Source organism: Homo sapiens, chromosome 6 (assembly GCF_000001405.40).
Source record: "Homo sapiens chromosome 6, GRCh38.p14 Primary Assembly".
NCBI classification, from domain to species: domain Eukaryota; kingdom Metazoa; phylum Chordata; class Mammalia; order Primates; family Hominidae; genus Homo; species Homo sapiens.
The window spans coordinates 21,043,479-21,067,634 of record NC_000006.12 but is presented as its reverse complement, the minus strand read 5'-3'; the positions used below and the strand labels follow the sequence as shown (position 1 = coordinate 21,067,634).

The window sequence follows — 24,156 nt, the reverse complement described above, 5'->3', positions numbered from 1 at the left end:
CTAATATTGGGATTTTGAAAATACCCAAGTCTTGCTCTGTCGCCCAGGCTGGAGTGCTGCAGTGGAACCATCTCAGCTCACTGCAAGCTCCACCTCCCAGGTTCACGCCATTCTTCTGCCTCAGCCTCCCGAATAGCTGAGACTACAGGCGCCCACCACCACGCCCGGCTAATAATCAATAGGATGAATAAACTGTGATATATATACGCATGCTGTAGAACACTGCCTGGCAATAACAATGGATGAACTACAGCTACTTTAAAAACAGATTAGTTCGCCAACATAATGTTATGCAAAAACAAACAAATCCCCAAAAACCCAAAATCCAAGCACTCAAACATGAATTCTTACATTTATATCCAGAATAATAATGGGTAAAACTATCCTGTGGTGTCAGAATAAGGCATGGTGGCTTCCTTTGAGGAGGGGGAGAGGACAGTAAATGGAGGACATGACAGGGACCTGTGTGGTACTTGGTGATGTTCAATTTCTTGATCTGACTGGTAGTTATAAGGAAGTATTCACTTTACAAAAGTGCACAGCCATATACTTTTCTGTAGGTACAGTACAAAAGCTTTTTTAGCAAAGAAGAAGTAAAGTTTAAAAAAAGAATAGATTGAACTATGAGAACAGAAAACAGATCAGTAGTTGTCAGGAACTGGGTGTGAATGGAGGGAGAAGATGATTACAAAAAAGGGTAAGAAGGATCAGCTGGGTGCAGTGGCTCACACCTGTAATACTGGCACTTTCGGAGACCAACATGGGAGGATCGCTTGAGTCCAGGAGTTCGAGACCAACCTGGGCCACATAGTAGGACCCTGTCTCTATGAAAACTAAAAAACAAAATGAGCTGGGCATGGTGGCACCCACCTGTAGTCCCAGCTACTTGAGATGCTGAGGTGGAAGGACTGCTTGAGCCCAGGAGGTTGGGGCTACAGTGAGCCAAGATTGCAGCACTGCACTCCAGCCTGGGCAACAGAGCGATACCCTGTCTGAAAGCAAAACAAAACAAAACAGAACAAAACAAAAGGGTAAAAAGGAATCTTGAGGGGGCTAATGGAATTGTTCTATATCTTGATTGTCATGTAGTAGGTTGCACTACTATATGCATTTGCTAGAAGTCATAGAACTGTACACCAAAAAGAGTGAATTTTGCTGTATGTAAGTTATCCCTCAATAATATATACTTGTGATATAGAAGAAAATGAATTAATTTGGCATCTTTTTATGTTTGTGGGAAGTTAACGATTTGTGGTGTTACAATCTGCTTTTTTTTCATTGATTAGATTAGAAAGAAAATTAAATGGTCCACCTGCAAAATATTTTCTTACCCTTGTATAGACAGAAAGTTGTAAATTAAGATGAGGAAAATTTGGGGAAAACAAATAATGCTCTTCATTTTGGTTTTATGATATTCACTTTTGATTTTGGAAAAAACAGACTTTAACTAATATACATCTATTTTTCAACCAAATATTGAAAGAATATATATGTTGTGTTTGATATTCACTTACGCTATAACAGAAAAACAGTAACAAGCTCTGGATTATTTCTTTGCATATTTATTCATAAAAACATTTGAGGCAAATTAATGACAGGGCATAATTTTTTAAAATTTAGGTTAGTGCAAAAGTAATTGCGGTAATTAAAGGCAAAAACCGCAATTACTTTTGCACCAACCTAATAGTTATTAGAAACAAAGTAGAAAATTTTCACTTAAATTTCTACTTGCTCTTCAGGCTTATTTTACATTTGCCCGTATTCAGCCAATGAATCTAGAAAGTAGATATTTGTTTTGAGACCCTTAATTTCTGGGGCATTCTGGGAAACATTTTGCCTTTACTTGATTCCAAACTTATTCACATTCATTATGAGTCATCTAATTCTACTGTATCTGTGAACATGAAAGGATAAAATTAAATTGAGGCTCGTTGTGAAAAAACTGAAAAAAAAAAAAAGGTAGAAAGATAGTATCAAATCTATCCAATAGAAAAGCAGCAAAACTAGGGGGATCCCAATCAATAACAAACTATGAAAAGAGTCTCTTAAAAAGTGGGGTAAAAATGAAGCCTCATTTATACACAAATATTTAAATATTGCCTTATTTTGAAACATCCAAAAGTTTATCTTCTACACACAGGTAAATACTAGATACTAATTAAAAATTTTTTTCCCCAAGTCATCTGAATTTTACTGTTCAAAAGAAGAAAAAGGTGATTATATTTTAGTTGCCTAAGGTCATTTAACTCATCCACGGCCCCCTGGCCCCTGACCCCAACTTGGAAATCTCTCCATATTTTGTAATTTAAGGGTTATAACATGAGCAAGTTGTGTGAAGGTAGGCAACACAGCTGCATTTCTATAGCTACTGGCAAAAAACAATACCTTACAAGAAAAAGATCTTACCACTTGTGCTGGAACTTGTTCCATTTTTGCAGCAGGAGTTCCTGGTCTTGGGTAAAATTGGTTAATAAACAGGCTTGGGAATTTGTACTCTTCAACAAGTTTCACTGTTTCTTGAAAATCCTGATCTGTTTCTCCAGGAAAACCACAGATAATATCTGTAGCAATAGTTATTCCAGGAACTCTAGAAAATAACAAGACAAAAATGTAAAAACTTGACTATAAGCCATAATTATTCTATTTCCCTGACATTTTAAATACAATTTTATGGTAATTAAAATTTATTTTTATAAAAAGCACACGTGCAAATAGTTTCAAAGAGTCCTAAATACCAAAAGTTTAAAATGAAAAACAGTTGGCTGCCTGCCATTTCCAGGGAAACCCATCTTAAATTCTTTTAAATGGTTCTTTGTTCTTTCCTCTATATTTAAAAATAGATGCTAATTCTGCCATTTCTAGATTTACTAATTTTTAGGCAATAAGTTACTAACTTCTCTATTATGGTAAATGAGGCTTTAACTCTTGAACTACTCTATCCTTACCCTCCCAAAGAAATCAATGAACAACTCCTAGTTAACACAGTACTTCCATTGGTACAATTGCAAAGATAACTTTCACTGTAGAGCCAATTGATATACTATTCAGTTTTGTTTTTCCACAATGTGTAATTTTTCCTAGAGTTAATAATTGCTTCTCTTTTTAAAAAAATTAGCTTAATGTTCTATATACCTATGTTGATGTTTTCCAGACTCCATTAGGGCTATCAAAAATCAATACTGTTTTCTAAACCTTTGACATATTGTATAATGTACCAGTCCCCTTTTCTTTTTCTGGAAATGCCACTCCTTTCAGGTGTGTGTTGCTTTTATAGTGAACTGGTTATCATCTTTGAATGTTGCTTCTTGGTATCCTTTTTTCAATAATCTTTTTTTCCCGGATCCTAAGTCTTCTTAATTCTTGATTAGCTCCCTCATTCTGTAGGGGTGTGCTTTCTTTCAGAAGCTTCATCAGAAAGATACCAGGGAAATTTTGTTGTTGTCTCTGCATGCGTGGTCTTAGGCCACGCAACTGACCGACATTTGGTTGTGTGTAGCACTCCAAGTCAAAAAGTATTATCCATACAAATTTTGCATTGTTCCTCTTTTTTTAAGCTGAAAAAATTGCTAATGGGATGTCTGGATTAACTTGGATGCGCACTTCTTTAAATGTGCCCACACCATTCTCTTTTTAGAAGCTTTTAAGATATTAACTTTATGCTCAATGTGATAATATGCCTTGGATTGGGTCTTTAAATCTTTGTACAAGGTACAGTCTGGAGACTCATGGGCTTTAGGTTGAGGAAGTTTTCTGATATTATTTCTTTAATAATTTTTCTCTCAGGGACTCCTTTCTTTTGAATGTTGAAACCACTGGGTTGATCTCTTAGCTTTTTCTCTCTTTCATCTCTGCCCTTTTATTTTCTGGAAATTTTACTTCAGCATACCTTCCAACTATTTTATTGCAAAAAAAATTAATTCAATATTACTATTTACATTTCTCAGAGCTCTTTCTCAATTTTCCTTTTCACAGTATCTTGTTTAGGGACACAATATCTTTTCTTATTTATCTGAGGATGTCAATTAAAGGTTTTTGTAATTTTTCTTCTGTTCACTGCAATTTGTCTGTTGATTACTCTCATTCACGGTTGAGACTTTCCACCACTAAAGAACAATTCTTGCTGTTCTTTTACATTTAAGAGCAAAGCATTAAAATCTTTTTATCATTCAGCGATAAGGTAGCAAGCTGCCTTTGTTTTTGATAGGCCCAAATGTTGGCATCTTGGAAGTCATTTCCTTGTGGCCATTTAGTGCCTCCATAAATATGGCACAGACGTTGTTCTATTTTAATAGTATAACAATAACAGAATTACATTAACTTATTTAAAAATCCAGTATTACTCTGAGTCCATAAACAATAGGGAAAATGGCTCCAATGTCAAAACATAGAATATCAACTTTCCTATCATTTAAACAGTTCTGGCCAGATGTAGTGGATCATGCCTGTAATCCCAGCACTCTGGGAGGCCAAGGTGGGTGGATCACCTGAGGTCAGGAGTTCGAGACCAGCCTGGCCAACATGGTGAAACCCTGTCTCTACTAAAAATACAAAAATTAGCTGGGTGTGGTGGCAGGTGCCTGTAATCCCAGCTCTTCGGGTGGCTGAGGCAGGAGAATTGCTTGAACCCGGGAGGTGGAGGTTGCAGTGAGCCGACATCGCGCCACTGCACTCCAGTCTGGGTGACAGAACAAGACTTCGTCTCAAAAAACAAACAAACAAACAAACAAAAAACAGTTCTACATGAAAGAATGAAAACAGTTTATCAAATTAAGATATATGAGATATTTGGGGGCATAAGAGGGAACAAGGGACATACCAATGAGGACAGTCAAATTATTATATTCCTAATATAGTTTCATAAAACAACAGCTTTCCATATTTTCTTCACACACTACTTAACACCCAGTGTGAAAGAAGCATGACAAATCTATTTTTTAAAATATTTTGTTCCTAATTTATTCTTGGTCTCACCTAGCTAGTTACTGGGCTGAACTTTAGTTAGTAAGATAAATTCCAAGGACTGGAACTTTTCTCCATGATGATAAATAGAAAAAGAGACAATATCCACACAGAAGAATAAAACAGTACATTTGAAGAAAAATTTAAACTTTTTATTGTGATATAAACATATTTTTTTCTTTAAAGGTAATTATCAAAATTACATTTGAAAAATCACAAATATCATATGATTTTACATGTAAGCTATAAATAAAAAGACCATTTTTGTAGACTAAAGCATGTAGAATAGCTTTCCAGCTAGCTAGTTTTATACTTGCCTTTTCAATAATTCTTATCAAAAGGTCTACAGCTAAAAATAAAAGTTATGGATCACAGCAGATCATAATAGAGAATAGTCCATCTCTCCTAGAAAATTTTTAAAAATAAATCTTAGAAACTGCATGGGAAATACTGTAAAAACAAAGGTTATTGTCCTCAGCTATGAATTAGAATAAATTTGGCACTAGATTATGGGGTATTCCCACAGGAAAGTACCTTACTGATTTTCCCTCTATCCTTCTTGATACATTATGGTTGAACCCACTGTTATGCAACACCTGCTTACTTTGGCCTTAAGGGTCATAGTGACAAAAGAGAAACCTTTAAAGAAGTCATAGTAAATGTTAGGGAAAGGGATTTTCAATGCATGGATATATTTGGCAAGGTAAACAAAAAGTTGCCTGATAGCAAGGGAGGAGGCAGGCCACTGTGAATAGCAACTTATACTAGTCAATATTGAAAAGTAAAAGCAGTTGAATGGTTTCAAAGTATATAAGAATACAAACTGATTGCTTATAAAATGTTTTTTAAGTAGAGACTGCACTTTAATGTGAGATGAGGCGGATCTATACATTAATTTTATATACGCAAATGATCCTACTTACATTCTTGAAAATAATTTGACTCTTTAGGTGAACCAACTGAAATCTCATTTACACTGTTGATTTGCCTAGTAAATAATTCTCTTTAGTATGAGAAAATCAAAGAAGTTTGAAGTGGAACAAATTCTAAATTACTAGAATATGATTTAAATGGCTAGGAGAATATTATAAGGGGTATAAAACAGAATATTAATCCAAATATTTAAGATGCTAATTCTGGGTAAAAGCTATTTTTGAGATGACATGAATTTTCAAAATACTAAAATTTTTAAAATAATCATTTCCACAAACTTATTTAAGCTGTGTGTAATGTATGTAAATACTAAGTAATATGTTATTCAATTTTAGGAACTTTATGTATGTTTTCATACTAGTATTAGAAAATAATTCTGAAAGGAAGATGAAAATGAAAATATTCATTTAGGTTAAACAACAGGAAAATTTTGGCCCATTATTTTTTCTCTCCTATATTTACTGGCAAAATGGGCTTATTAAATAGCTTGGGAATGGAGTAAGAAAGGTTCGAATTATGCATCTGACCTTGTCAGAAGCAGTGCTATGATTACTTGTAAAGATATATCAGGGACATGTAAGGAACAGGCAAACTATTTGTTGGCTCTAGCCTGTAATTTAAGAAAGCCATAAATATTTTAAAAGTTAATTATTTCACCTTGAATAAAAATACAAACATATACACACCCCACACTTTAAACATTCATCTCAAGATTTTTACTTGCCATTTGGTGTTTCACTGGCAAAAATATGGAAAATAATAATTCTACTTCATTCCTTAGATCAATAAATTGTGAGCTTCAAATTCTACATGTGAATAAAGTAGGACTAATACACATACTAATCATCTCAAAAGACAAAGAGAAAAATGATCAGCAAAGGACTAGACCTACCAAAATTATAGACATAAACAAAACACATGATTAAAATAAATAATTCTTATCCTGTGGAGGTTTATTCTAGGACAAATATTCAATACTTTTGGGGAAAAAATGAGGTAGGTAGGGGAGAAAAATATCTTGAACTGAATGAAAATGAAATCATAACACATCTAAATATATGATATGCAACTAAAGCAGTGCTTAGAGAAAAATTTATAGATTTTAATTTCTGTGTTAGATATAAAAATCTAAGCTTCCACTTCAAGAAGCTAACAAAGAGAAAAAATCAAATGAAAAGACAAATAAAGAAAATAATAAAGGTAAAATAAGAAATCAATGAAATAGAAAATAGAGAAAAATCAATAAAAGTAAAAAGTACATCTTTGAAAAAAGTCAATACAATTAGTAATGTACTAGTTAGGCTGAGAAAAGAAAAGAAGATACAGATGACCAGCTTTAGGCATGAAGGATGGGACATCACTACAGATGCTACCAACAGTAAAAGGATACAAAGAATACTATGAACCTTATGCCAGTAAACTCCCAACTTAGATAAAATGGGCAAATTCTTTGAAAGATATAAATTATGAAAATGGACTCAAGAAGAAACCAAAAACCTGAATATTCTTTTATCTATTACAAAAACTTGTAATTTAAAATCTTGCCACCCAAACAAAACAACACAAAACAAAACCACCCAAGACTATATGGTTTCATGGTGAATTCTACCAAACATTTAAAGAATGATAAAATCAATTCTATGGAAACTATTTCAAAGATAGATGAGAAAGAAACTCTTTTAAGAGTCCAGCATTACCCTGTTACAAAAACCAGAGGAAGGCAAATACTGTATGTTCTCACTTATAAATAAGTAGGAGCTAAGCTATGGGTACACAAAGGCAGACAGAATAGAATAATGAACAGTGAAGACTCAGAAGGGGGAGGGTGGGACAGGAGCGAGGGATAAAAAAACCACACATCAGGTACAGTGTTCACTACTTGGGTGAAGGGTACACTAAAATCTCAGACTTCACCCTATATAGATCATCCATGTAACCAGAAACCACTTGTACCCTAAAAGGTACTTAAAAATATTTTTAAAATCAGGGGAGGGGCCAAGATGGCCAATTAGAAGCAGCTGCCATCAGTGGCTCCCACCGTGAAGAATGAAAAGGGTGAGTGAATCCTGCACCTTCAGCTGAGGTATCCAGGTTCTCTAATTGGGAATGACTAGGTGGTTGGCGCAACCCACTGAGAGTGAGGAAAAGCAGGGCGGAGCAATGGCTCACTTGGGAGCTGCATGGGGCAAGGGGAGCTCTCACTCACAGCCAAGGGAGGCGGTGAGTGATTGTGCTACCCCATCCAGGAAACCATGCTTTTTCCATGAATCTGTGCAACCCATGGATCAGTAGATCCCCCTGTGAGCCCATGCCACCAGGATCTTGGGTCTCAAGCACAGAGCTGTGCAGATGTTCAGCAGATGCTCAGGTTGCAGCCAGCAGCAGCAAGCTGGAGACTGCCTAAGATGACCGAGTTCCTAGAGGTGAGGGTGGCTGCCATCACTGCAACTGCAGCATCAGTCTTCTGTTTTCCCCTGCTGGTGCTAGGAAGACTGGGCAGTCTGGACCAGGAGGAACTCCCCACAATGCAGCACAGTGGCTGTGGCAGATCATGGCCAGACTGCTTCTTTAGGTGGGACCCTGATCCATTCCTCCTCACTGAGTGGGGCCTCCCTGTGGGAATTTCACCAACTCCAGCCAGTGGTTTACAGAGAAATCTCTGATCTCCCTGGGACAGAGACCCTGAGGGGAGGGGCAGCTGCAATCTCCATGGTTCAGCAGACTTAGTCTTTCCTGCCTGCTGGCTATTTAGAGGCTGGGCACTCCAGATGATGGGGATTCCTCTCAGTGCAGCAAACCCGCTCCACCAAGGGGCAGCCAGAGTGCTTCATTAAGCAGGTCTCCGATCCTGTGCTTCCTGACTAGGTGAGACCCCCACAACAGGAGTCACCAGACACCTTATACAGGAGCATGCCCCCTGGCATTAGGTCGCTGTCACTCTGGAAAAGAGGTCCAAGATGAAGGAGCAGGCAGCCATCTTTGCTGTTCTGCAGCCCCCACTGGTGACACCTCCAGGTGAGGGTATTTGTCACCACCAGGCCTGCCTTGCAACAGCTCCTGAAGGAAGCACTAAATATGGAAAGGGAAAACCACTACCAGCCCCTAGAAAAACACACTGAAGTACAAAAACCAATGACACTATGAAGCAACTACATAAACAAGTCTGCAAAATAACTAGTTAGAGTCATGATGACAGGATCAGATTCAAACATAACAATATTAGCCTTAAATGTAAATGGGCTAAATGCCCCAATTAAGTGACACAGAATGGCAAGCTGGGTAAAGAGTCAAGACCCATCAGTGTGCTGTATTCAAGAGACCCATCTCATGTGCAAAGACACACATAGGCTCAAAATAAAGGGATGGAAGAAAATTTACAAAGCAAATGGAAAGCAGCAAAAAGCAAGGACTGCAATCCTAGTTTATGACAAAACAGATTTTAAACCAACAAAGATAAAAAAAGACAAAGAAGGGTATTACATAATGGTAAAGGGATCAATTCAACAAGAAAAGCTGACTGTCCTAAATATATATGCACCCAATAGGGGAGTACTCAGATTCATAAAACAAGTTCTTAGAGACCTACAAAGAGACTTAGACTCCCACCCAATAATAGCGGGACACTTTAAAACCCCACTTTCAATATTAGACAGATCATTGAGACAGAAAATTAAGAAAGATATTCAGGATTTAAACTCAGCTCTGGATCAGCTGGACCTGATGGATATCTACAGAACTCTCCAAACAAAAACACGAGAATATACATTCTTCTTGGTGCCACATGGCACTTACTCTAAAATTTATCACATAATTGGAAGTAAAACATTCCTTAGCAAATGCAAAAGAACAGAAATCATAACAAACAGTCTCTTAGACCACAGCACAATCAAATTAGAACCCAGGATTAAGAAACTCACTTAAAGCCACACAACTACATGGAAACTGAACAACCTGCTCCTGAATGACTCCTGGGCAAATAATGAAATTAAGGTAGAAATTAAAAAGTTCTTTGAAACTAATGAGAATAAAGAGACAGCATGCCAGAATCTATGAGCTAACAGTGTTAAGAGGAAAATTTATAGCACTAAATGCCCAGATCAAAAAGCTAGAAAGATCTCAAATCAACATCTTAACATCACAACTAAAAAAACTAGAGAACCAAGAGCAAACAAACCCCAAAGCTAGCAGAAGACAAGAAATAACCAAGCTCAGAGTGGAACTGAAGGAGAAAGAGACACAAAAAACCCTTAAAAAAAATCAACAAGTCCAGGAGCTGTTTTTTTTTTTGAAAAAATAAAATAGATAGACTACTAGCTGGACTAATAAAGAAAAGAGAGGAGAATCAAATAGACACAATAAAAAATGATAAAGCAGATATCACCACTGACTGCAAAAAAATACAACCAACCATCAGAGAATACTATAAACACCTCTATGCAAATGAACTAGAAAATCTAGAAGAAATGGATAAATTCCTGGACACATACACCCTCCCAAGAGTGAACAAGGAAGAACTTGAATCCCTGAATAGACCAATAATGAGTTCTGAAATTGAGGCAGTAGTAAACAGCCTACCCACCAAAAAAAGCCCAGGACCAGATGGATTTACAGCTGAATTATACCAGAGGTACAAAGAGGAACTGGTACATTTCTTCTGAAACTATTCCAAACAACTGGAAAGGAGGGACTCCTCCCTAACTCATTTTATGAGGCCAGCATCATCCTGATACCAAAATCTGGCAACGATGCAATAAAAAAAGAAAATTTCAGGCCACTATCCCTGATGAACATCAATGCAAAAATCCTCAATAAAATACTGGCAAACAAAATCCAGCAGCACATCAAAAAACTTACCCACCATGATCAAGTCAGTTTTATCCCTGGACGCAAGGCTGGTTCAACATATTCAAATCAATAAATGTGATTCATCACATAAACAGAAATAAAGACAAAAACCACACGATTTTCTCAATAGATGCAGAAAAGGCCTTTGATAAAATTCAACATCCCTTCATGTTAAAAGCTCTCAATTAACTAGGTATTGATGGAACAGACCTGAAAATAATAAGAGCCATTTATGACAAACCCACAGCCAATATCATACTGAATGGGAAAAGCTGGAAGCATTCCCCTTGAAAACGGGCACAAGACAAAGATGCCCTCTCTCGCTACTCCTGTTCAACATAGTATTGGAAGTTCTGGCCAGGAAAATCAGGCAAGAGAAGAAAATAAAGTGTATTTAAATAGGAAGAGAGGAAGTCAAACTGTCTCTGTTTGCAGATGATATGATCACATATCTAGAAAACCCCATCGTCTCAGCACAAAAACCTCTTAACTCAATAAACAATTTCAGCAAAGTCTCAGGATACAAAATCAAGGTGCAAAAATCACAAGCATTCCTATATACCAACAATAGACAAGCAGAGAGCCAAATCATGAATGAACACCCATTCACAATTGCCTCAAAGAGAACAAAATATCTAGGAACACAGCTATCAAGGAAAGTGAAGGACCTCTTCAAGGAGAACTACAAACCACCGTTCAAAGAAATAAGAGAGGACACAAACAAATGGAAAAACATTCCATTCGGCCAACAAACATGAAAAAAAGCTCAACATCACGGATCATTAGAGAAATGCAAATCAAAACCACAATGACATACCATCTCACACCAGTCAGAATGGCAATTAGTAAAAAGTCAAGAAACAACAGATGTTGGTGAGGCTGTGGAGAAATACGAATGCTTTTACACTGTTGGTGGGGATGTAAATTAGTTCAAGCATTGTGGAAGACAGTGTGGCAATTCCTCAAAGACCTAGGACCAGAAATACCATTTGACCCAGCAATCCCATTTCTTGGTATATACCCAAAAGAATATAAATGATCCTATTATAAAGATACATGCAAACGTATGTTCATTGCAGCACTATTCACCATAGCAAAGACATGGAATCAACCCAAATGCCCATCAATGATAGACTGGATAAAGAAAATGTGGTACATATACACCATGGAATACTATACAGCCATAAAAAGGAAAGAGATCAAGTCCTTTGCAGGGACATGGATATTGTCAGAAGCCATTATTCTCAGCAAACTAATGCAGGAACAGAAAACTAAACACCACATGTTCTCACTTATAAGTGCGAGCTGAACAATGTGAACACACAGACACAGGGAGGGGAACACACACTGGAGCCTGTTGAGGTGGGGAAGAGTACCAGGGAAAATAGCTAATGCATGCTGAGCTTAATACCTAGGTGATGGGTTGATAGGTGCAGTAAATCACCACAGCACACGTTTACCTACATAATAAACCTGCACATCCTGCACATGTACCTCAGAACTTAAAAAAAAGTAAAAAAAGAAAAAACAAACAAAAAAAGTTTTTTTTAAAGAAAATCAGAGGAAGAGATTAGAATTAAACTATAGACCAATATCTCTCATAAACAAGGAGACAAAAATTCTTAACAAAATATTGGCAAACTGAACCTGGCAAAATTAAAAAAAATGATTATATATCATGACCACTTTTTAAATCCAAGAAATGTGAGGTTGATTTGACATGTGAGTATCAATTAATGTAATGTACCATATAAAAAGAATAAAGGACAAAATAAAAACCACATAGTGATCTTAACAGATTCAGAAAACTTTTGACAAATCAAACACCCATTCATGATTTTTAAAAATGCTTTTCCATTAGGATTGATAATAAAGCAAAGATTTCTGTTCTCACTTCTTCAATTCAACATATTACTGGAGGTTCTAGTCAGTCCAAAAAAGCAAGGAATGGAAATTAAAGGCATATATGTTTAAAAGACAGAATTTTTTTTTTTTTTGGGCAGGTGACATGACCTTGTATGTAGAAAATCTAAAGAATCTACTGAGCCTACTAGAATAAGTGAGTTTAGCAAAACTGTAGGATACAAGATCAATATATAAAAATCAATTACATTTTTTATACTAGTAATGAACAACCTGAAAATGAAATCAAGAATCCAATTCCATTCACAATAGCATAAAAACTACTTGGGAATACGTTTGAGAAAGAAAGGTAGAAGTTGTATGCCATAAACTGAGAGAATTTAAAGAAACCATCTTAAAACTTGATGAGAGAAATTAAAGAAGATCTAAATAAATGGAAGAATATATAATTTTCATGGATTAGAAAATTTAGCATTGTTAAGATGGCAAGCCTCTCCAAATTGATTTATAGAGTCAATGCAACTCCTATCAAAATAACAGCAAGTATTTCTGCTGAAAATGACAAGCTGTGCTTAAAATGTATGCGGAAATACAAATGACTTGAAATAATCAGAACAATTTTGAAGAAAAAAAAGCTGGTGGAATAAATGAACCTGTTTTAAAGACTAACTATAAAGCTCCAATAATCAACGCAGTATGGTTATCAGTGTAGGGATACATCAATGGAAAAATAGAGAGTCCAAATATATACCAATTCATCATATATGGGTAATTAGTTTTCAACAAAATTACCAAGGCAATTCAATGAGGGCAGGAAACAAAGCGTTTTCAATAAATGGTACTGTAACAATCAGACACCATATGCAAAAAACCCCACACATTATTAAACCCTCCACCTTACATTATACACAAAAATATTTCAATGTGCATCACAGTCTGAATGTCAGATACAGAATTATTAAACATCTAGAAGAAAATATGGGAGGAAATCTTTGTGACCTTAGGTTAGGCAAAGATTTCTTAGCGATAGTGCCAACACCGAAAGCACAATCCGTAAAAGTAAAATTTGATAAACTAAGAAATTAAACTTACTCAAAAGATACCGTTAAAAAATGAAAAGAGAAGTCATAGAGTAGAATAAAATATTTGCAAATCATATATCCAATAAAAAGACTTGTATCCAAACTATATTGAGAACTATGACTCACTAACAGGAAGACAACACAATGATGCAATGGGCAAAAGATTTAACAAACACTTCACTGAAGAAGATATAGGAATAGCTAATAAGTACATTAAAATTTGCTTAACATTGTCACTAGTCAGAAAAATGAAAGTTAAAACCATGTAAAATGCCACACATCCAGTAGAATGGCTGTACCAAAAAGACTGAAAAAAAAAATAACAGATATTAGTAAGCATATAGAGAAACTGACGCACTTATACATTGAAGGTGGGAATTTTAAATGGTGCAGTCATTTTGGAAAACAGTCTGACAGTTTCTTAAATAGTTAAACATACACTTACTGTGACCCAGCAATTCTACTCTAGGTGTCTACCCAAGGGAAACGAAAATGTAAGCTCACACGAAGACCTGTACTTGGATTTTCACAGTAGCAATCTTCATAACTGCCCCAAACTGGTAACAGTCCAAATGTCTATCAATTGTTGAATGAATAACAAAATGTGGCATATCCATATGTGGAAATTACTTACAAATAAAAAAGAGCCAACTACTGATATATGCACCAACATGAACCAATCTGAAAAACATTCTTAAGGAAATGAAAGACACGAAGGATTGCTTATTGTGATTCCATTTATAAGAAATATCTAGAAGACGACTTAGAATAGACAGAAAGCAAATCAGTCTTGTCTGGAACTGTGAGTAGAAGCAGGGATTGGCTCCAATTGGACATTAGAAAAATTTTTGACAGAATGAAAGCATTCTAAAACTGAATTGTGATGATAGTTGCACAACTGCATTAATTTGCTAAAAATCTTCAAAACACTTACATTGAATGAATATTCTGTGTTCTCTAAATTATCCTACAGACTTAACAATGAAAAAAAAATACCTTTCTGAAGACAGATAGCATGAATCTTCCATAACATACTCTTCTAAGAAGTCTTATTGAGCACTTACTATGTGAGACTCAATTATATTCTCTTATTTATTTTCTGTAGAGACGGAGTCTTGCTTTGTTGCCCAGGCTGGTCTCAAACTTGAAGCCTCAAGTGATACTCCTGCCTCAGCCTCCAAAAGTCCTGAGATTACAGGTGTGAGCCAACTGCACCCGGCCAAGAAGTCTTAACAGTTCAACTTTGACAGGTGTAGTCAAAGAATTAAATGTGGACAAAGGACCAGGTGTGGTAGCTCATGCCTGTAGTCCCAGCACTTTCGGAGGCCAAGGAAAGAGGATCACTTGAAGCCAGGAGTTCATGGCCAGCCTGAGCAACAAAGCAAGACCCTGTCTTTACAAAAAAAAAAAAAAAACAACCAATTAAAAAAATTTAAATTAGCCAGGTGTGGTGGTGTGTGTCTATAGTCTCAGCTATTCAGGAAACTGAGGTGGGAGAACCACTTGAGCCCAGAAGTTTGAGGCTGCAGTGAGCTGTGATCGTGTCACTGCACTTCAGCCTGGGTGACAGGGCTAGACTCCACCTCTAATAAGAAAAAATAGACAAATCGGGACAAACAGCAAAATAAAAGGCCAGGAATAAAGGAATTACGTTCAGAGCATGAAATCATGAAGGACTTGAAGAAGGAAAGCATGGATCTATTTCCCAAGTAAAACATCATATAACAATAGGGAATCATTCTATTTATATTGAAAGAGAAAATTTAGTAAGAAACAATTCAACATCTTCAAATAAATTTCAGATTTTTTTCAGCATCTCTAAATTTATTCTCATAGTTTTATTAAAAATTTCTTAAATTAACTGCTCTAAAAACAGAAAAAACACTAAAACATTTAGATGAGGGCTGAAAAGCCATAATGAGTGACTAAGACAAAGAAAGTCTAGTGTGACCTGGGCATTCATTCTTATTCTTTTAATATGACTGTCTGGGAGAAACAACTTCCTTGCATAACTAAGATGTTCTACCACTAACTAGCTGCATGATCTTGGGCAAACTATTCAGCCTTAGATGCTTCCACTTCTTCTTTCATAAAATGGATATAGTAAAAGTATTCATAGATAAGATTAATGAGGTAATAGATGTACTAATTGCTCAGGATGGTGCTTCCCATATAGTGCTTAATATGTATTGGCTTTATTATTGTAACCTTGTCAGAGAGATGATAACAACTGTCATTTATTATGTAATACTAATATTACATAATAATACTAATAAAAGTGCCAGGCAATATGTTAACAACTTCATCTTGTTTAATATAACTTTCTCATAAGATAGATTCTAATCCAGTTTTCATGAGAAAGGGGGAAAATGCCATTAGGGAAAGAGGTACAGTAAATTGCCCATGATCACAGAATCAATAAATAGTAAAGGAAGCATCTGATCTGAAGCTTCTGATCACTACCCAGGGTAGTCCTTATCTCTTACCTATGTCACTGATGTGCTCACAGCACTGATGTACCATAAGCACTGGCTGATCATAAGTTCACGGAAAACACAACTTATTATTACTATTTTTTTGAGACATGGTCTCACTCTGTCACCTAGGTTGGAGTGCAGTAGTGTGATCTTGGCTTAGTGCAGCCTCTATCTCTTGGGTGCAAATGATCCTCCTGCCTCAGCCTCCCAAGTAGCTGGGACTACAAAGTAGCCGAGATTACAGGTGTGCACCACCACATCTGGCTAATTTTGTTTATTTTTTGTTGCAATGAGATCTCACGACATTGCTCAAGCTTGTCCTGAATTCCTGAGCTCAAGTGATCCAGACAGTGTTCACATTCTGCTACTTTAATGAGACCACATTTACACAGGTCACCTTCTGTGAGAATAAAGCAATAAACTAGAAATTACTAAGAAAAAGGCACAGAAAAACCTTGATCCTATTTGTCAGGAAACTGAATATAATAAAAATACATGTATTCCTATAAATGAATAAATGTGATCTTTTTCACAGTAGACTTATAACATTTCTGGCCTTTACAGAGAAGTTTAAACCCTCTTGTTTGAAGAAATTGTTTTCAAATATTGATAGTGACAGGCAGATAGGGGCAGGTCCCCAGTGAAACCCCACCTCCAAGCTGGAAGACAGTTTAAAGCCTGAAAGCCAAGCTACAAGTTAAATCCTTGGACTGGACTGAGAATGTGTCTTCCTGTTTGGCACGTTTTCCTCTGATTGATCCCCACCCTTCATCTATTCTACATATACCTACCCTTTCCTAATTGGTTTTCTACACTGTCATGCCCACCTTTGAGTGGTGTCTTTGCTTTAACCTTTTTTGCATAGTCACAAACCAATCAGCAAGCACTCCCCATTCTGAGTCCATAAAAGGCCCGAGACCCAGCCACAAGAAAGGAACTTTCTGCCTTTGGGTAGGGGACCATCCCCATGTCCTCTCTTGACTGAAAGCTGTTTCACTGCTCAATAAACTTCTCTCCGCCTTCCTCACTCTTCAATGTCCAGTGTATCCTCCTTCTTGGGCGCAGTACAAGAGCTCGGGAACTGCCAAACACAGGTACAAGCTATAACACAGGCAGGCTGGGGCACACTAGTGTGGCTGAGTGGGGCCCAGGCAGGGCGTTGCCAGCCAGAGGTCCCCGGTTTGCAAGGCAACCAAGAAAAAAAATTCCTACAATCAATATTAGGCAAAATCTATATGCTAAAATACAACTAACATATTAATTATACATAATATTTATAATCAAAGATGGCCTTTCAAGGTATCTCCCTAAAAAAATTTAGTAGCAGTTAGTTTTTTAATGATTCCTTCTCTTTGAAAGTAATAAAACTTTTAATAAGCAAAAATAAAAACCTAGATGGGTTATTCAGTTTAAATTTGGTACAATTTTACCTTTTTAAAGTAAACTAGGCAAATGTATGACATAAGTAAAGGAAGAAATATATGAATAAATGGCAAATGGTTTGCTCAAGCTCTGCAAATTTCTGAATATTCTGAGAATTTAAAATGCAACAAACTCCAACTATTAAATACTTGTGGTAAAAACTGATCAAGTGTATGGAAAAATTGTTTCTGACACTTGGAAAAGTGGCTGTCAAATAGGCTAAAAAAAAAAAAAAAGGATGAGAGACAACTGGATGAGATGACACCAAAGAATTTAGTGTCATCCATTACATTTCTAAGCCTGGTATAAATCCAGAATATATCATTTGGCTTCAAGCACACATCAAATGAATCATCACTGCTAACTAAAAATCAAATAAATACCATGTTAAATAAGTTTTTTATCCTGTAACACTATGCTTGCATTCCATAGCAAATATTTTGGAATAAGCACAAAGCCTTACATAAGACCAAAGATATTGCCTTAAAAATTAAAAGTAAGCATACTGGATAATATTGTTATAGTATTTAAAAGAAACCATATTAAATTTCACAGAATTTTTACACATCTGTTATTAAAATCATTTTATGATATTGCTGGTTAAAGTGAAGGTATTTACTATCTATGGTACTGCTAACACAATTCTTATATGAGTTTTTCTGTTTCTATGGTAACATGAATTATAAGGTTCAATGAAGCTGAATTCAGTAATGTGTATTTTTCTGTTATTCAAGGTGAAAAGGAAATGAAACATTTCTAACATTCATAAACTACAGCAAATGTCTGAATTCCATTTAGAGATAAGATGATAATTACTAAAGTAATTAGAATTCTTCCTGGATGGAATTATTTTGCACACAGTGGAAATTTAAGTTTGAGAATGAAAGTAGGGGCCAGAGTATATTCAGCATCAGTAATTAATTACAACCCAAACCCATCTGCCATTCTGATACCTTGGAACAGACTATACCTTTTTCTGTCTGCTTCTGACTACAATATAAAAGAAAGCTCATCCTCCACCCCCACCCCTAAGTCAGAAAGATAAAGTGGGTGAAATCATTTTATTCAAGAAAAAAATCCAATTACAGAAATAATCAACTTTTCTCTCTTGCTTTATTTTTTTCATATTTGAAAGGGCTTTCACATTAGCAGAACCAATTAAATGAATATCAGGACAGGGCAAAATCTACAAAGTTAGGCAAGTTTCTTAAATCTTTTAAAATTAAACCTTGAAAAAAAACCACTTAGAGACTGAAACCCAGATCATGGCATTCTTTAATGGGAAAACATAACTGGAAGGTAACTAAACATCAGGTCTCGGGAAGAATAATTTATAAAATTATACAGTCAAAATGCAGTTGCCTCTAATATCCAGTCCATTATTAAGAAATTAGGCAAATTATTACTTTTAATGGAAGTGTTACCAAAAAATAGCACTCAGAAACATTACATTTCAAGTTTTATGTCATCCTAAAGTGCAATTGGTATAGCATCATCATAAATAATACTGAATAGGGATATATACAAATTGGAAAAAAATATATATATACACACACATACACAGAGCAAGCAAGTGAGAAAGAAACCGGAAGCTATATTTATGGACTAGAAATTATAAAATCATTTAAATCAAAACCCAGATTTATAATTACTTTATTTCTTATGAGTTGAGAACATTTTCTTATTGTGTTTTATTGTTTTAAATTCAGTTTTCCCTGCATTCAGTTTACCCCGATCAGGTCAGAGGTTGGCAAACTACAACCCATGTGCCAAATCCAGCTGTTGTCTGATTTTGTAAATAAAGTTTTATTGGAACACAGCTACACTCATTCATTTCATACTGTTTATGGCTGCTTTCACTACAAAAGCAGAGTTGAATGTAGTTGTGACAGTTGCAACAGAAACTGCATGGTCTGCAAAGCCAAAGTTATTTATCATCTGCTGAGATTCTAACCAACCAGGTCCACGACTCTAATTTTTGATAAGAACTCCCAGGAACACTCCAGGGTGAGTTGAGGGCCAGTGGGTACATACAATGCTCTCCAAAATGTAGCCCTAATCAACCTTTCCATTATCACCCAATTCCGATTGATATGATTCAAATCAGAATACTTTCTCTCTGAACAATCCCATTGTACAATCCCCTATCCAAACTACTCATTGAAATCAGAATACTTCCTCTCTGAGCAATCCTACTGTACAATCCCCTATCCATACTACTGATATTCCCTGGGCCACCTCTCTGATGAAATTTTTCTTGATTTTCTCTCAGCATCTTAATTCATTCACAGTCCCTCCTTTGTACCTCTATGATGTCCCTGTTATGATCTTCCTGACATTTTTTACATCTGTTTTCTTGCCTTATGCCTCCTAATAAACTATAAGCACCTGGTGGACAAGGATGGGGTCATATTCACATTCCTACACTCTGTAGTAATGAGGCAACAGCCACATAGACAGTTGAGGCTCAGTAAAAGTGCCCACTGACTTAAAGGTGAAATGCTTGGGAGAACTTGGAAAAACAGACAGTAAGACGAATACATGAATTTAATAAAGCAATAGGCTTTATTCACCCAGAGATCAATGATTAATCCCTGTTTTGACTAATACCAATTTCAATATTTTCCTTTACGTCCTAGAGGTTAGCTCTGGTGGGAAAGGAATAAGTGGAGATTCACAAGGCTTTGTAAATGATGGCTTCTCTTTAGGAAAAGGGGATACTATCATTGTGAGCAGTACAAGTTGGCTCCAGCGCCTGGCTTCTCAGCAGCATCTGCCTAGCCTTTCTCCAAAGAGAAGCTGTCATCTACAAAGCCCTTTGAATTTCCACTTTCTCTTTCCCTGGCTCAGTAACACACACCTGTAGTCCTAGCTACTCATGAGGCTGAGACGGAAGGATCTAGGAGTTCAAGGCCAACCTGGGCAACATGGTGAGACTCCATCTCTTAAAAAAAAAAAACACAAAAAATCAGTTAACTAAGAATTGTTTCAAGCTCAATTCTATTTTTAGAATTAATCAGAACATTTGGTCAATGCTTATTTTGAACAACTTGAATTTATTTGCAACTTTCAGTTAAAATTTTGGGGAAAGGGGTACAAGATGGAGTCTTTAAGGTTGAAGCAAGGTTTACGAGGAGGAGATGAAGTGGAGATTTCATTCTAATTCTAGGTTACAGTTGCTTGCGTCTATTTTTGAAGGGTGTAAGTCTCGTCATTCTAAACTCATTTGTTAACTGGATGATATGTTCTCGACAAGGTTCTCAACTGTCAGCATCTATGGGGGCTGCTGTGGCAGGGAGGTGGCAGGTGGCCAAGAGCCCTTTCCCTGTGAAACTCACATGAAATGTGTCTGTTTGTTAGACGTTGTAGCTTTTATGTGAAGGCCCTGTCACTTTTTATGACACTGCCTCTTGGATACACATTTGGCCAAAATCTCTGCCTCAAAAGGAGCAGCTCCGTTGTGTCTCACGCCACGCCTGGCTGGCCTGTCAGCTGCGGCTGCTTCACAGCTCCCCACAGCCATGAGCACTGCCTGGGACAGGCTTCACTGACCTGCAAAGCACTCCTAGACTCTTCCTGACTGTGAGTGACCAAAGTCCTTTCTTGCCACAACAGCGGCTCCAAGGGAGCCCACTACCCACTGCCCCCTTCTTCTTACATACCCAGGCAGCAGTGCTGGAATGCTGGGTATGGCTTGAATGCTGGTGGTAGCTGACCCTATGCCAAGAAACACTTTAAAACTTAAGAACAAAGCCGCTATATTACAGAATATCAAGACACTGCAACCATCCCCAAAGTCACGGAGGGAAGGAAATAACATTAGTCACATGTGAATTAGCTAACTATCAGGTTAATAGTGTGGCATCTTCTAACACCAGCCTCTCTGAACCAAGAATGTGGAAGGCACTCTTTTCATATATCAACTCATTTAATCCTCAGAGTAATCAGTGAGATATGCAATATTTTCCTCAGTTTACAGACATGGCAGTGGACACAGAGAAAGGTCATGTAAGCTGCCCAATGTCACACAACAATAAGCAGCAGAGTCAGGATCTGAATCCTTCCTGTCTGTGATCTGAAATAATAAGCTGCCTCCCACTGATGGAGGGCAGTGAATGTTAAATAGTGCCAGATGCATTTGTTCCAAAAGGCCCCCTTTCTCAGAAACAATGACTATCAGGTGTCATTGAATAGTGACTTGAGACGCCATCGGATGACCCACACAACTGCTAAATAAAAATACCCACATGAAGTTATTTTCTCAGCACCCCTCCATCATTAGATTGCTACTCTCATATTAAAAAACAAGGGCACTGAGGATAAGGTCACTTGTCCATGGACACAGAGCTAGTTTACAGTAGAAAAGGCCTGGGATTAGGATCTCTGACTCCTAGTGCTTTACTTATGCATTTACTGTTTTAGCCAGGGGAAAGAAATCTAGGAAAAATCCTCACCAGATAACACATCTGTGCTAGCAGCCAACAAGGAGATATTCATGCAAGTTCAGATTTCATCACGCACATTTTCAGTGGTGCCTCTAAATAAGGGAAAGGGAGACAGGTGCCCACGGGAGTAGAAATGTTAATAGGTACAACTAGCCCCTGACTCAGAGTCAGGGAGAAAACAAACACATCTTGTTAATTTTTAACACTTTACCTCATGCTCATGTCCCAAACTATGCAAGGTCTAGAAAGTAGCACTGATTACATCATTTTTGGCAAAAGAATCTGAGGATTATTTAGATAACTATAGCGGTGCTTGATACCAAGTCCTGAACAGTCACTGCCAGGAGTATTCCTGGCAAACCAAAGTATTCCTGCCTGCTATATCATTCCGATCTAGCTAATGACCATAAAAACCCAAAGAAGGTCACATGCTATAGTCCTTTTTCTGTGCTATTTCGCCAAGTGCTATGGTTTGAATGATGGTGTCCCATTCAAAATCTATGTTGAAACTGAATCCGCAATGCTATAGTATTAATAGAGGTGTGGTCTTTGGGAAGTGATGACATCATGAAGGCAGAGCCTTATAAAAGGGCAAGGCTGAAGGGAGCACTCTATCTTGTCCCTCCCTCCCTTCTGCCATTTGAAGAAGCCGGGCAGTGCCATCTGTGAGGAATGAGCCTTCTCCTGACACTGAACCTGCTGGTGCCTTGATCATAGACTTCCCAGCCTCTAGAACTGTGAGAAATAAATTTCTATAGTTTATAAATTGCCCAGTCTCAGGTATTTGGTTACAGCAGCACAAACGGATTAAGACACGGAGACATCAAAACAACCTTCTGAGAAGGAAGGGGGATATGTCTAGCTTACAGAGGTTTAGAAAAGTGAAGTGTTTGCACAGAGAAACCAGGACTTGAAAACTACTGCCTTTCAAACCAGCTCAACTGAATATTTAGAAGAATCATGAATAATTTATTAACTATAAATACTAATGATTATACTATGTCAACATAAAGTTAGCATTTATAAAAATTAACAATAATGTCATTATTAATAACAATTTTGGCATCTGTGAAAGGGTTTTGGGCTATGAACTTAGAGAACCTGGTAAAGGAGAAAGTTTTGTCTGTGACCACCAATGTAAGAAGCAAGTGTATAAATGTGTGTGATGCTATCAGCCAGCCAGGTATCAGAGTGGTAAAGTCTATTAGAATGAAGGCTTGAGTTAAAGACAATTTGATTCAATCCCATCAATGATAACTGAATACTTACAAGTAAGAGGCAAGAAAGCAGAATCAGAGTGTAATAGAGGGCTAAACAGGATTTCTAGCCACCAGTGGAGGTAAACAGTAATGTGACCAACTGTGCCAGGCTCAATACAAGAGAGAAGGGTGGGATGAGGAGATGTCGAGGAGTAAAGAGAATTATGGGCCTTAGAGAAGATAAAATCAAAGAATAACACAGGGAGGAAAAAGAAAAGATGAAAGGAACAACTACAGAGGTTTTTGGGTACAACATGGTATAACAGGATCACAGATTGCCCTCCTAATGTAGAATGTGCTTAAATTAACTGAAACAAAGTGTGACATCAATAGAATTTATATTCCACTTCAATCTATGTATGTAGCTCCAATTACAGCAAACATTTCCTTTAGCAAACAGATTTAACAAAATCAATTTCTGATCAGAAAAGCAAATGAAGAAAACTGGGGTGGCAAAACACAACTAATGACTATATCTCATCACAGCTAAAGGTCCAAGACACAGTGCTGTATACACTGTGACAATACGCTTCCTGTACAAAGTGATTTTCTCCTAAAGACAAAGTCACATTCTCCAGGTAGCCTTGAATAAGAATTGCTTTTAATTCCATGACGATACTTTTAAAAGATGTTAACATAAATAAACCGAATACGACAGAAAGTAACAAGGAAATGACTCTGAGATAGCAAAATGCAAAGGCATGTAATGCCACTAAAATAGGGATGATGAATAACTTTCAGAGCCATAAAAGTGCAGAGACAAATGATGAAAGCATGAAGATATGAGTTTTTTCTTAAGTAAGCCTAGCATGCTTTTTGCAAAAGGAGAGAAGAGTAGTCTTGGGAGTATCCTTACAAGTGTTGCATACAA

General features: G+C 36.8%; 1 protein-coding gene across 16 annotated transcripts in view; it reads right to left on the bottom strand.

Moving 5' to 3' along the window:
• Window positions 1-24,156, bottom strand: part of CDKAL1 (CDKAL1 threonylcarbamoyladenosine tRNA methylthiotransferase) — a 697,948-nt gene that overhangs the window by 164,770 nt on the left and 509,022 nt on the right. For all 16 annotated transcript variants that reach the window (XM_047418949.1, XM_047418952.1, NM_017774.3 and 13 more), the window contains one exon: window positions 2,407-2,587. In XM_047418949.1, coding sequence (XP_047274905.1) covers window positions 2,407-2,587 — 181 coding nt within the window. The remainder of the gene's footprint in view (window positions 1-2,406; window positions 2,588-24,156) is intronic.